General features: G+C 40.3%; 1 protein-coding gene across 11 annotated transcripts in view; it reads left to right on the top strand.

Annotated features, from left to right (window-relative positions):
- The window catches only part of DNAH5 (dynein axonemal heavy chain 5), a 321,491-nt gene that overhangs the window by 69,469 nt on the left and 236,891 nt on the right, over positions 1-15,131 (top strand). For all 11 annotated transcript variants that reach the window (XR_001742034.2, XR_001742035.2, XM_017009177.2 and 8 more), the window contains exons 2-3: positions 11,106-11,240; positions 14,172-14,256. Coding sequence is in view for 9 of the 11 variants with exons in the window: in XM_017009177.2 (XP_016864666.1) it covers positions 11,106-11,240; positions 14,172-14,256 (220 nt within the window). In the remaining 2 variants the exon portion in view is untranslated. The remainder of the gene's footprint in view (positions 1-11,105; positions 11,241-14,171; positions 14,257-15,131) is intronic.

The raw sequence follows: 15,131 nt of genomic DNA, 5'->3' as shown, positions 1-15,131 counted from the left end.
ACAAGTCCATATATATTTAACTAAGTTCCACGCTAAGGTCTGGAACTATTATTGCAATGATGCTATGTTATAATTAGGCTACTGTAATGTAATAATTGACTTTATCCATAAATATCATGCCAGTAACAACCAAATGTACCATAAACAAAGTCAAGCCATATATCTTTTCTCTTGTATAATAAACACACGTTATTTTCATTTAAAAACTTGAAATTATTCTGTATATATTCATTCGCTCATTTGCAAAAATTATGGTCCAGATCTGATGTCTGTCTTTTTTCTGCTTTTCTCAGAGATAAAGAATGCTTAGTACCAAGTTACAGGTGTAAGACGGACATGAATTCCAGACTTGAATTCTGTTTTTCTTTACTTCCCCAAAATGAAACTGAAGTCTATAACTTTGTTGGTTGACTTTGTTGACTTCCAGAAAAAAGAACAACTTGAAAGATAGATGGTAGTCCTCTAGACTGTCAAATTTACCTAATTGCAAAGCTGGTTTTAAAATGGAGAAAAGTCTTCTCCCCACTGCAGCGGAATGTGTGTTGTTCCTGTTTTGTGCTGTATGTGTTTCTGTTAGGGAATGCTGTTGCTCATGAACTTTCAGATTGCTGCAGGTTTTCTCTGAACAGTGAATCTCTTGTGGGTAGAAGCTGTGGGGGAAGAGAGCACACCTCCCTCTCCCGCCGAGAAGCTCTGCAGGAGGGCAGCCATTGTTTCCAGTGGGGTGCTTAGTAGAAGCCAAGACAGAAAGAACCTTTGCTCTCAGATTATCTTTTGAAATCTGAAAAGATGTCAGTTTTCTCATTCTCTGGCAAATTAACCAAACCATTTTCAGTGTGCTGTTAATCAGGCCCAGACCTGTTTGGCCAAGTCAACAAATTTCACATAGAGCAGATCAAAACCATTTCCTTAGAGCACTGGAAGGTGAATGGATCTAGGGTTTAGCTGGGAAGAGAGAGGTACTGTCTATTTAAAAATTTTTTTTCCATTTTTAGAGACAGTCTCACTCTGTTACCCTGGCTGGACTGCAGTGGCGCCATCGTAGCTCACTGCAGCCTAGAACTCCTGGGCTCAACCAATCCTTCCACCTCAGCCTCCTCAGTAGCTGGGACTATAGGCATGCATCCCCGCATCTGGCTAATTTTTTAATTGTAATTTTTGTAGAGATGGAGTCTTGCTATGCTGCACAGACTGATCTCAAACTCCTGGCCTCAAGCAATCCTCCCGCCTCAGCCTCCCAAAGTGCTGGGATAACAGACATGAGCCATTGTGCCAGTGCTGCTTGTAAAGGCCCACTGAGCACTCTCTAGCCTGAACTAGTTAAGGCCAAAAGATGCCCCATCATTATCATGCCATAGCTAGACCCTGGGGGAATGTAACTGTATGTGCAAAACTTATCCATTCCACAAATCTCTCTTGGATGCCTACTTTGTACTAAGTGCTGTGCTCTGTGATATGGCAGGGAAAAACCCTTCTAGACACCATGGAATTTAGAGCTGAACTTGTTCTTTCTATCATTCAATTTTTGCACAAGTCTAGTAAGGAGAAAAGGAGAAGTTAGAGTTAGAAGATCCCAAAATTTATGTCCTTGGGCTTTCTCTGTTAAGTTTCTACCTCAAGTGAGAACTCGGTCATACTAATCCATCAGGATCAATTTGTAAAATGACTTCCTTGAGAACAGTGATGTCAGGCTGGGCTGTACATTAGAATCACCAGGGGAGCTTTGGAGAAATGCCGGTGCCTGGGCCCCGCACCTGACCAGATAAATCAGGATTTCTCAGGGGTGGGAGGCCCAGGCATCAGTATTTTACAGCTCTCCAATGATTCCAATGAGTGGCCAGCTTTAAGCACAGTGGTTTGTTGTATGAATAAGGGAAGTTTTGGAATTCCACTCCTGTGCCATATATAACGTGAATGGTGACATATTATATATATATATTTTTAGCATATGGGTAAGGGCCATTTGAGTTATATGGTCCCTGCTGCCAGAGAGACCTCTTGAAATTCTACATGAGAGGCATTTCTGATTTTGGAGTGAAATCACTGTGGGGTTAGGGAAAGAGGATATATGGCCATGTGAAGGTCCACCAGATCTCACTTCAGGTCCAGAAATTTGGTGTGCAGAAAACAGACTCTAAGTTAGAATTTGGATGATGGAATGTCGGGGGAGGTGAGGCTGTGGACACCGGGATATGCCTACAGCAGATTTGGGGTTGGTCTGGGTGGAAAATTCACACATCGTAAATGCTAAAGAGAGAGTTCTTTATTTGCCTGGAAGGAATGATAGGTAAGGGAGTGAGTAAATAGGGAGAGCTAGAGGCCTTGGGAACTCCAGCAAAAATAGACAGGATGCCAAAGTTTATCCCTGGACAGAAGAAAATGGATGGTACCACACGCTTAAGTGCTATCTCTTTGCAATAGAGGGAAAGCGTGGCTCTTGTTAAATAGAGGAGGGCTTCACTAAAGCACCTGCTGTGAGTGGGATTAGCCAGCGTGTCATCTCTTTTCTTTCCCGAAACCACTTTACTGAAGTGCGCTTAATTCTGGAAGGAGGTGCCGTGCTTCCTCTGCAGCTGTGGCCCTTCACCGGGATAAATGAAACGAAAGGGGAGTCAGAAAAGGCAAGACTTGAAAAGTACAGTTAGGAGTGGAGAGTCTCTAAATTGTGGTTCTCCCAGCCAATTAGAGAGCAGGTTAGGCTGGGCTGGGAAGCATCACAGAGCAGCCTCTTCTCTCTGAGAGAGGCCGGGAAAGGAGACGGGGCCCTGTGGGTTGAAACAGAGAAGCTGGAAGACAAAGAGGGAGGCTTTTCTCTGTGGGAAGACAGGGAAACAGGGTTGATTGTAGAGGGCTCTAAGGGTAAATGAGTTAGAGAACTGCTTCCCTCAGTTTCTCTAATTCAACAAAATAAAACGGGAGGCAGGTAAAGCAAGGTTAGCTGTATTTGCTGTAAATTGAGGGGGAGCTACTATCCTACCCAGGGTAGAATTCTGTGTAGTCACTTATGTTCCAGGCACAACAGCATGGATCCTATTGACTTAATTTTGATTCTGCAATCGTGGACTCACGTTGGTCTAGGATAATTTGTTCCAGCCCTTAATTACGTGAGAGTGACTTGTAAAATAATTTTAAAATTATTTAGAGATATTAATTGAGGATCTTCAGTGTGCCAGGGCCTGTTGTTGACACTGCTGCTATCGAATAAATCAAAATGGAAAACATCCCTTCCCTGTAAAGCTGGTACTCCTGTAGGAATGATGAGATTCTCTTGTTATTTACTTTGTTTTACTGCTCAGGAGATAAGAAGGATCAGGTAATATATGTGGCAGATAGGAGAACTAAACCATTTGGGTGTCTTTAAAGAAAGAAAAGAAACACATATTTTACCAATAACCAGGTATTTCAGCCAGGCATACACGTTGAATAATTTTCTTTTTCTGCTCGTGAATTTGTCCTGATTCATCCACAGTTGGGGAAGATGAAATAAAGTGAAGTTAGCTGGCCTGAGATGATCAAATCCATGTCCTTGGTTTCGTTAGCACTGTGTTCTCATCAAGTGATCAATTATCTGTGGACTTGAGGTTGACATTGACAGCCAAAGGGAAATCAGTCATGGATGTATTTACTTTAGTTATTTAAGATAAGGAACTTTAACCATGTAGTAGTTCTGTCTTATCCAGGGGGAATATATTCCAAGACCCCCACTGAATGCCAGAAACCATGGGTAGGATTGAACCCTATATATACTATGTTTTTTTCATATATATGTATATATATGTACGTTTATATATTTACATTTTTTATATATACATATGTACATATATATACCTATGACAAACTTTAACTTATAAATTAGGTGCAGTAAAAGATTAACAACAACAATAATAATAAAATAGAACAATTATAACTATATACTGTAATAAAAATTGTGTGAATGTGGTCTTTCTCTCTCAAAATATCTTATTGTACTGTATCTACCCTTCATGTGTGGATGTGAGGTGACACGAAGCCTGCATAATGAGATGAAGTGAGGTGAATGCTGTAGGCATTGTGATATAGTGTTTGACTGCTACTGACCATCTGATGGTATAGCAGGGGGACCGTGTGCTTTGGGTGATCCTGGATCATTGAGCTATGATGATGTCAATGATTGGGTGCCGGGAGCAGATGATGTTGATGGTTAATGGTTGGGTAATGTCTACAGTGTGGAGATGCTGGATGAGGGGATGGTTCATATCCCAGGTGGTATGGATTTGGACGGCATGAGATTTTATCACATTACTCCAAAGGGCACAAAATTTAAAACTTATGAATTGTTTATTTCTGGAATTATCCATTTAACATTTTTGGAACAAGGTTGACCACAGGTAATGGAAACCATAGAAACGGAAACCTTGGATGGGGATAGGAGAATGGCTGTAATTCATAGAATACATTATTTACAATGATCTCAGATGGGGATTTTAACCTATATTATTCTCTATTATATTTGTTACATTACTGTATGAATACACATATATAAAGAACAAAATGCTCAAGTCAAACAAATAGAAATATATTCATTTCAACGTGTGCAACTGAACTTCCTTAAGTCAGATCTCTTTCTCTTTCTCAGATTCAGACGTGCAACAAAGCTAATCATGTCACCTAGAAAAACTTTTTTCTTTAACAACCAAATATTCTTTGGCTGCAGAACCCATTCCTTTCCCTACCCACTTCCCCGTGCAAAGGTATTGTATGAGGACCTGGTATATGCAGTATGATGTCGATAACAGTGATACTGTCAGATGGAAGCAGCAGTGAGTAGGGGGAATCTGGAGCATCACCTACTGACTACCCAAATGAGGAACTAACCTCCGAGACACTTTCAGGAGTAGAAGATGGGGTGAGGGTGTTATCATTTTCTGAGAGACACAGGAGTGCAGTGAGAACTGAATACATTAATCCCAGCTGGAAGCACCTGGGTACCAGTCCACACTGGCACTAAAATACCACTGATATAACTCAGGAAATCGGTGCTAGTTAACTGGTCTCCATCTACAACTCCTCGTATAACCCTTGTATGGGGTCTCCTGCTAGAGCACACTAGATAACTGTTAAGCGCATATTTTTTAAAAAGTGCTTATGGAATATCAGTTTGAAGTTATGCAAAATTCTTAGTTGCCCTTGGGCATCCTATGTCTTGGTCTGGTCCTGTGGACAGCAAGGGCTTGATTCCCAACCCTGCCACTTTCTTAGTTGTGTGCTTTTGGGAAAGCAGTTAATGGTCCATAGTCTTGATTTCCTGGTGTGGAGATAATAACGTCTTCTTCATAGGGATTTTGTGACAATTAAACCAAAACATAGTGAGCAAATGATGACTAACAGAACCAAGCTGGCAATGCAACCAGGGCAAACAATGCAAAATATACACTTCAGGAGGGTCTGGGAAAAGATGTCCTTGCTTAGGCACAAAAGAACTCTCAGACCCAATAGCCCCATCCTCCATCCACTTCTGCTGGCTGCCAATGGGGTCAGTGGAGTAGATCTGTGTCAGGAACAAACCTGTCAACAAGGCAGAGCTTCATAAGGGTGTAGGAAGCTTAAACATTTGTACAATTAAAAGAAATCATTATGAAAATGTTTTGTTTCACTTAAATTTTGATGTCCAGGATCAAATCCTTGGTCATGCCATTTTAATTCGAGTGCTGTTTGATTTAGTGTGATCACCAAACTGCATGCAATTTAACCCTCACAAACCTCTTTCAAGTTGGGACTTTTATCTCCATTTTACTTTTATCTTCATTTCTATAAGGTCTCCCATATAGTTGAGGATTATAAGCCTAGAGACAAAATGAAAGACTGATCATGTATGTAGTTTATACACAGTTTGTGTATATAAGCATGCAGACTTGGACTTTGGTTCTACAGAGTTAAAGGCAAATGTTAGTATTTTTTAAACATCAGATGGATAGATTACTTTTGAGACAGTCACTGAGCTTTTTGGGGTATTCATTAGGATTTGTATTTTAAAATTTTGAGTCTGTAGATTGTGTAAACGTTTGAAGTCATGAGAAGTAGTCCACATATTGAAGAAGGAATGAACCTTGGCTGTCACCTAGTCCAACACTTTCATTTTGTAGTTGAGGAAATTGTGGCCTGGAGAGGTTAAATGAAAGATGTGAGGTCTTGCAATTAGTGTCAGAGCTGGGACTAGAACCTTACCACCTCATTCTGACATCAGTGCTCCTTTGTCTGTGGAGGATTGGCCACCTGGGAAGCAGAGCTCCTTTCTTGTGAGGTAGTACATTAGCCACTCTCCCATTCTAAGGCAGTAATAACATATCACAAATTGCCGCAATGTTTTAATGCTGCTCTAGATTTCCTTGGACATTGAATAGATTTCTGGCCATGTTCCCCACCCCTATTCACTGGTGCTTTTTCATGCAATGCAAAACAATTTTAGTAGGACTCCAGAAAAGTCTTGACATAGTTTACCTCCTGCCTTCTTAATCCCTCTCTGCCTTCACTTTCCAAGTGTCCTAGGTGTTTCAAAGGCCAGCAGGACAAGCCAACCCCCAAAGAACTAGTCACCTGACTGCTTGTTGCTGCAGTTCCTTAGCAGCCAGAAAGCTGCAGGGTTAGGTCTGCGGATTGACAGTGCACTGTTCTAATTGCTAAATATTTGTTTGACATTATTGACTTTTTTATGGTAGTTAAAAAGCAATTTCAGTATTCCCAGGATACCTTAGTGTAATGCAATGAAAGTTGAGATTGATAAACATTGTGGCATTTCATCTATATGACACTAGGATTGACTTCATATTACTTGTCTTCAGGCAATAGAACAATCAGTTTACATAAGAAAATATATTCAAGTCTTAACGTGCTTTTAAATATATTAAATAACTTCTGAAAACATTTACTTAAAAATATGTCAATAATTAGCTTTATATAAATAAAGCTGCTTTGGAAGTTTCTTTCTCCTGTGATATTTAAGTAAAAATAGAATAATTAGTCTTCTATTTTAGGGAGTGATTTCCCTCTTTTTCATTAGGATGTTTTTTTCTCTGGAATCAGAAACAATTGGGTTATGAAGTAATGTGTTGCCATGGGAGAATCTTATTTAAATCTCTGTGTTCTTTGGAACGCCTCAGTTCCTTGCCATGGAAGAATCTTTTTTAAATCTCTGTGCTCTTTGGAAGCCCTCAGTTCCTTTACATCTTGAATCTTCTGGCTGTCTACTTCTTTTATTTTTAGTTTTGGCTACCAAGCATTTGCCATCTCTTTGTGTTGTTGCTGAATTCCTGGCTCCCTGGTTGACCTCTGAGTTCTCAAGCTGCTAAAGATATTTAGCACAAACTTAGAGTGATCACTTAGAGAAAAGTCTTTTATTTCTCCCTGCCAGGAAGGCAGAAAACAATTCAAAACAACAGGACATCTTCCTGGCTTTAGTGACATTTGAAAAAAGTTTTAAATGTACTTTTATTTGATGTCTATGGAATGAACTAACATGTTTGTTTTTAAAGAAATGGTGAGAAAACAGGTAGATTATCTATTTTTTAAACCTGAATCCTGCCTCTTGCCACCTCCCCAGCAAAGTTGTCTCTCAGATAGGTAGTCCTTCAAGTTCAGAGAAATGTATGTCAATTACATAGGTGTAGCAATAACCTTTCAATTGCTCTGAAATCTCCAACTTTTTCATCTTTACTTTTCTGTAAGTCTTTTGTACCTTAAAAAATTCTTTCTTGACTCTAAATTTTCCTCTCTATTACTACCATACCCTATTCCTTTATAGTCAAGTTTCTGGAAAAAGTAGTTTATATTCAGCATTTTTATATTTCTCTTTTCCCAATCATCCTTTTCTCAAGTCTATATTTATTTCTGTCCAACCAATGAAATTATTCTAACAAAATTACTCTATTATTTATTTTTGCGTTACAAACCATACCAAAACTTAAGGGCCTAAAGCAGAAACAATCATCTGTTATCTCTCTTTATTCTGTGAGTGACTGGGCTCTGCTGGGTGGTTCTTCTGCAGGTGCCATTGGCTGGCTTGCTGTCATCTGTAGGGGAAACTTAGGTTGGAACATCCAAGACAGCTTACTCAAATGGCTGAAAGTTGGTGCTGGGGTCAGCTAGAAGGTCAGATGGTACCGCTGACCAGAAGGTTTTGTTCTCCTCCATGTGGTCTCCCTACATGGCTGAGTTCTGAGGCAACATTCTAAGTGCAAAGGCAGAAGGTGAAGATCTCTTAAGAACTAGCTTAGGAAGTCCCATCTCATTTACCCTCAGATTTTTTTTTTGGTGAAAACTGGCCATAGGGCTAGCCAAATTCAAGGGGAGGGGAAATACAGTCTATTTCTTGACAGGTTAGTGGCACAGTCACACTGCAAAAGAGCTGTGAGAAGCTGCAACCATCCTGTAAACACAATCCCTAAAGATATCCTAATTAACCCAACCAATCCTGTGTAGCATTGTTGCTATTGGTCACTCTCCATGATTTATTGCTACTACGGTTTCTTGGTCTCCTTTCTATCTCTTTGCACATTCATCCTTAGTTTTTTTTTTTTTTTTTTTTGAGGTGGAGTCTCACTCTGTCATCCAGGCTGGAGTGCAATGGTGCAATCTCGGCTCACTGCAACCTCTGCTTTTTGGGTTCAAGTGATTCTCCTGCCTCATCCTCCCAAGTAGCTGGGATTACAGGCACATGCCACCATGCCTGGCTAATTTTTGTATTTTAGTAGAGACAGGGTTTTGGCACGTTGGCCAGGCTGGTCTTGAACTCCTGACCTCAGGTGATCCACCCGCCTTGGCCTCCAAAGTGCTGGGATTACAGGCATGAGCCACTGTGCCCAACCTCATCCTTAGCTTTCTTTATTTGCACTTCTTTTTCTCCTTGCTCCTGGGATACTGGTGGTCCCCAATTTTCTTCACTTTTTTAGTGTGTTTTCATTTCAATATGTTTGTTAGAAAATCATATCTGCACTCATGGTTTAAACTTTGATTTATTCATTCATTTGACAAATATTTATTGAATGCACATACCACCTGCTGGTTGAAAGAGCTGTTGATGTGTACTTTTGCAGGTTCTGTACTGCACAACTCCAACAGGTACCACATTGTTTTCACACTGATTTGACATTGTAGCTTTTATATTGACCGTCTTCTCTATGTCTATGTCTATATGTGCCTATGTCTATATCTATATATATGTCTGTATCATATCAGTGGTTCTGAACAGGAGAAGTTATTTTGTCCCACAGGGGCCATTTGGCAATGTCTGGAGACGTTTTTTATTCTCAGGAGTTGGTGGTGGAGGCTACTGGGACCTAGAAGTTAGAGACCAAAGGCGCTGCTAAAACCTCACATTGCACAGGACTGCTCCTCACAACAAGAATGGTCTGTCTCATAAAGTCATCGTGCTAAATTGAGAACCTGCATGTTATCTGTATCTGCAATGCAGTTTCCCCTTGAACATTTCCAGTGGCCTGTCTGCCTCGTCCACCTGTGTATTGAGTCACCTCAAAATCTTACACATCCAAAAGCTGAACTTATGATTGTGTTGCTTCAACTTGTTCCTCTTGATGAACCCAGTGTCTGGGAATGCCACCATCACCCACCTGACTGCCTCTGGGCATGCATCACACCAGCCTACTTTCCACACTGCTGCCAGAATGATGGATTTTTCAGTGCTGCACAGACAGCTAAACACCTATCTCTCTTGATATGAAACTCATCAGTGATTCTCCGTGGATTTTACATAACAGTTAAACTTTGTAATGTGGTTCAGAAAATATTTATTATCTGACTTTTTTCTCATTTCCTATTATGTTTTCCTAGTCCTTTTTAGTTCACACATCCTGGCTACCTTGTGGTTTTCAGAATGTGCTTTTGTGTGCCTCTCAGCCTTTGTGTATGCAGAAAGGCGACTGTCCTAGGAGTATGACCAACCCTCCTTCAATGCTAGGCTTCAGCCACCTCCTCCTGAAAGCTGTCCTGTCATCCCCACCCCTACCCCTTATCAACTCCAGGCTAGAGTGGGAGACCCTTCTTTTTGCTCCTTCTCTGTAGACCCATAAATGCCCCTGCATTTGGAGACCCATAAATCTGATGCCTCTGTGGCAACTGCCATGCCATCTGTCATATTTAAATTTTCAGCTCACATCCTGCCAGCCAGGCCATGAGCTTTTTTGAGGTTACCAGGTAGTGTTAGTCTCTTCAGTGCTGACACATATTAGGGGTTTAACAAATGTTTGTTGATTAAAAGAAGGGATCCAGAGGGGCCACTTTTCCTCTTCCCAGTGGGAGCTACTGGTTGGCATTAAAGGTAATGTATTATTCCAAGAATGAATTGGAAGCTGAACGTCTACCAGTGTCAAAATAGTTGAATAAAGTATGGTACATTCATACTGAATATTTTTGCAGCTATTACACAGGATGGAATAGTCTGTATTAAACTAGAAAGAAGTCCGTGATGCATTGTTAAGGGAGAAATGCATGAAAACATTTTATAGTATGATGTAAATATAGGTGTGTGCATATGTTTGAATAGGATTGTATGATCATACAGTATAAGGAAAGACATGCTTCAAACTGCCAACATTGGTTACATTAAGCATGCCTTATTCTCATAATTAACAATTGATAGTTAAAGAGCAAGCAATGGTATTCAGAAGTTAATTTCAAGACCAAATATGTAGCTGTAGATAAACAATAAAGATAGGAGATACTGTAGAAAAAATATTACTTTAATGGCTTAGGAAAATGTTTACAAAAATGGAGATCTCTTTTTTTGATATTCTGTTGAATGCTTATATATGCATAGAAATAAGTGTGTAAAGATTTAGAACAAAATGTTAACAATAATAATTTCTGGATGGCAGATTTTTCTCTCTTGGCTTCTCTGTATTCTGCAATTTCACAACAATGAGCATGCTTTATTTTCATAAGAGAAATAAATTATTTCTAAAAATAGAAGATAGTACATAAAAATTGGTACCATTAAGCTGTCTATTATCTGGATACCTAAGACTTGAAAAAACAACAATTGTATGAAATTATTACAAAATGAATCCACTTGAGAACAGCAGTTTCCATGTAACATTTTTATTCTTTTCTTTTAGCAAAGACTGAAGGGAGAGAAGGAAGCCAAGCGGGCTCTTTTGGATGCGAGGCATAACTACTTATTTGCAATTGTGGCTTCCTGTTTGGACCTGAACAAAACCGAAGTGGAGGATGCCATTCTTGAAGGGAATCAGGTGGGATGCGTTTCACTTCTCACTGACTTGATGATGGAGGGCACAGATGGTCTGTTGACACAGTCCTGTGGCAGGATCCCATGCTGTGCCCAGAGGGAGGTGCCTGTCTTAACGTGGACAGGGCTCCATTCTGACTCTGTACTGGTGCTTGCAGAATGAGCTTAAGGCTCTCCAGCTCTCCATGTTGAATAGGGGCACTTCTAATTGTCATTTGAGTTCCGTGATTCTGATGGCATTGTCTGCATCTCTCTACATCCAGTGAAGCTGGGCTCTCATGCCATTTTGGAAACTAAAGCCGGGGAACAGAATCTCGTTTCAAGTTGCCGATTCGTCTTTTGTGCATTTCCCCTGTTCTAGGCACTGGATTTGTGCCATGATTTTCTGGCTTTCACTTTGGTTTGGCAGCTGAACCTGCTTTCTTTTGTTCCTAACCTGCTTGCTTTTGTTCCCATCTTCTGCTACAATTTTTCTTTAAAACTGGGGGTGTGATTTGCTTTGTGTTTGACCTTGGTTAGGGAAGGCCAAAATATGGGAAGATATAATTTCCTGGGCAGTGAGAAAAGCACATAAGCAGCCCTATGATGATTCCTGAAGATTTTTTAAAGAAACTAATTAGACATTAGGAAAAAAAAGAAAGAAGACAAGCCCTTTTTGCTGACAGGGTGCCACACCGTTGGGAATTCTTTTCAGTGGTAGTCTTGTAAATTTTAACAACTGGATTTGGGCAAGGTTGGAGGAAGTAGGCAGGGAGGTACTAGTTTGAAAATCTGCTAATTTCTGTGGTGTAAATACTCCCACAATGGCTGGTTCCAAACTACTATCATCATGTTAACGAAATGTTGAGTTGTAAAGAGTTATGATCCATTGGATATCCTGGGCCAGTACGAGCCATCTGTGGCACACCACTGGCTTCATTCCTTCCTGCTGGGCTACTCTGGTGGGGTTAGTAGGAGTTGGGGAACAATTAAGAATGGATAACACGAAAATGGGTAAACTACAGGATGGATCAAGCAGGAGCTGAGGAAATGTGCTTCTCCTCTTTCTCCTTCTCCTCATAGCTGACACTTATTGAATGTTTACCATGTGTCGGTCCCTGTTCTCAGTCTCTTTCATCTATGACTTCATTTCCATCTTCATAATACCAGGAGGTAGATAATATTATTCCCAGAATATGGAGGCATAAAAGCAGAGAGGGCCACTTGGGGAGATTGTTCCAGAGGTGAAATGCTTAACTCCACCCTGCTTCCCAATTCAGACATCTGGATTTGGGAATATGCAAGGGGAAGAAGCAGGCAAAAGTTCAGCTCTGTAGGGATACCAGGTTAAACTCCTATGTCAAGGTCAGAACCCAGGGATGTCAGAACCTGGAGGTTTAAAGAAAGCATCTGGCTCAGGCTCTCAAGCACAGAGGGGAGGGATAGGAGCTTCAATACTGGCTGTGATGGAAGCATGCCCTTCACTGCATTCTTGGCCTGGAATTGAATCTTGGGGAGTCCTTCCTCCTCGTCCCTGTGGCATCTTCAATCATGGTGGAAATTGAAGGGGACTTATTTTTCACATTTAATTGTTCAGGCTAGATTTTATCCTTTAAAAACATTATTTTAAGATGTAGTAAATACACATAACATAAAATTCACCATCTTAACCATTTTAAGTGTACAGTTCATTAGTGTTAAGTACGTTCACATTACTGTGCAATAAATCTTCAGAATGCTTTTTATTACAAAAACAGAAACGCTGTACCCATTAAACTACCACTCCACAGTCCTCCTTCCCTCCAGCCCCTGGCAACCCCCGCATTCTACTTTTTGTCTCTAGGAATTGGACTATTCCATAGGTACCTCACACAAGTGGAGTCATGCAGTGTTCATCTTTTTGGGATCGTCTTATTTCACTTAGTGTAAGGTTTGCAAGGTTCATCCATGTTGTAGCATGTGCCAGGATTCCCCTCCTTGTTAAGGCTGGATTATATTCCCTTGTATATGTATACCACATTTTGTTTATCGCTTTATCTGTCACTTTCATCTTTTGTGGAAGCTATTGTGAGTAATGCTACTATGAACATGGGTATACAAATATCTCTTTGAGAGCCCGCTTTCAATTCTTTGGGATATATACCCAGAAGTGGAGTTCCCGGATCATGTGGCAATTCTATTTTTAGTTTTTTAAGGAGCCTTCATACTGTTTTCCACAACGGCTCCACCATTTACATTCCCACCAGTAGTGCTCAAGGGTTCCAGTTTCTCCACATCCTCGCCAGCACTTGCTGTTTTCTGTTTTTTGGTGGTAGCCATCCTAATGCCTAATGGGTGTGTGGATTTTATCTTTTTATTTTCATATGAATTCCAAACAGTGCTATTGACTATTTAAAAGAAGTGTTTCTGTTGGTAGCAGGCCATTTGTTAGACTTGTAGACTTACAGTGAGCCTCAGGGATGGGACTCTTAGTCCCAGCTTAGTGCCAGGTTGCTTACTGGAAGGTGTGTTCATAGTCAGATATGTTCTCATGGCAGTTTTGGTGATTATTGCAATTTAATATTAATTATCTCTAGAGTGTTAGACTAAGTTTTGAAAGGTTTGTTCTTGCTTATCTGCAGTTGACTGAAGCACTCATCTCTATTTAAATCTCCCTTCAACAGCTCAACACTTTAGGGAATTTGCAAATATAGATGGACAATGCTTTTCAAATGTGCATAAGTAGCAAATATTTCTATGATTCATGAAATTACTTTTTTGAACAGAGTCTTTACTATGGTGAGACATTTATTCTTTTGATGTAAATGCTCCCTTTTTTATAGGATACATTAGATGCAGTCCTGTTTGAATAAGAAAGATGACAGTAAATTTTCCTTTTTTATATTATTAATGCTGATTTAATTGCAGTTTCTAATTTGGATTGAAAATCATTATCTTGCCTTTTTCTTTTTCCCAGATTGAAAGAATTGATCAACTTTTTGCTGTTGGAGGTCTCCGACACCTCATGTTTTACTATCAAGATGTGGAGGAAGCAGAAACAGGTATCTGAATTTGATGTGACATAACCCAGAAATGTGTTATTAGATTTATCTGAGGGTAGCTTGAAGAAGAAAGCTACTGTGAGAACGGACCTGTTTCACCTTGCGGGCGGGAGGGAGATGCGTGTGTGGGTCCATGTGGGAAACCATTAGTGTGTAGGGTGTGGCCCTGTGGAAGAAGTTCTGTTTCACCTCAAGGATGGAGGACAGATTACAGTTGGTATTTAGCCTGGTTGTTCTAACTTTATTGGAGTTGTCTCATATTCCTTCTCAGGCTGTGCTGGCAATGAAGATAATAAAGTAGATTACGTTTGACTTCCTTTTCTTATATTCTAGTTCATTCTGTGTTTTATGTTCTAGAACTTATAATGGGCACCTGTTTCACATGTATATAGGCATTATTTCTTTTTAACATAGGAATTATTGCCAGCATGTGTAACACCCCTTTTTAGTTAGCTATCACATTGTGTTAATTTTCTACTGACTCTGCTTTAAATAAATAATATTGGATGACAGGTTTCATCATTCTCATTTATGAAAAATTTGCAAATCTTTTTTTTGTTGTTGTTATTTATTATTATTATTTTTTGAGACAGAGTCTCGCTCTGTCACCAGACTGGAGTGCAGTGGCACAATCTTGGCTCCCCGCAACCTCTACCTCCCGGGGTTCAAGCAATTCTCCTGCCTCAGCCTCCCAAAGTACAGTCCCAGCCTGTAGCTGGGACTACAGGTGCGCGCCACCACGCCCAACTAATTTTTGTATTTTCAGTAGAGACGGGGTTTCAGCATGTTGGCTAGGATGGTCTCGATCTCTCGACCTTGTGATCCACCCACCTCGGCCTCCCAAAGTGCTGGGATATAGGCGTGAGCCACCGTGC

Source organism: Homo sapiens, chromosome 5 (genome assembly GCF_000001405.40).
Source record: "Homo sapiens chromosome 5, GRCh38.p14 Primary Assembly".
NCBI lineage: Eukaryota > Metazoa > Chordata > Mammalia > Primates > Hominidae > Homo > Homo sapiens.
This window is presented reverse-complemented; position numbering and strand designations above follow the sequence as displayed.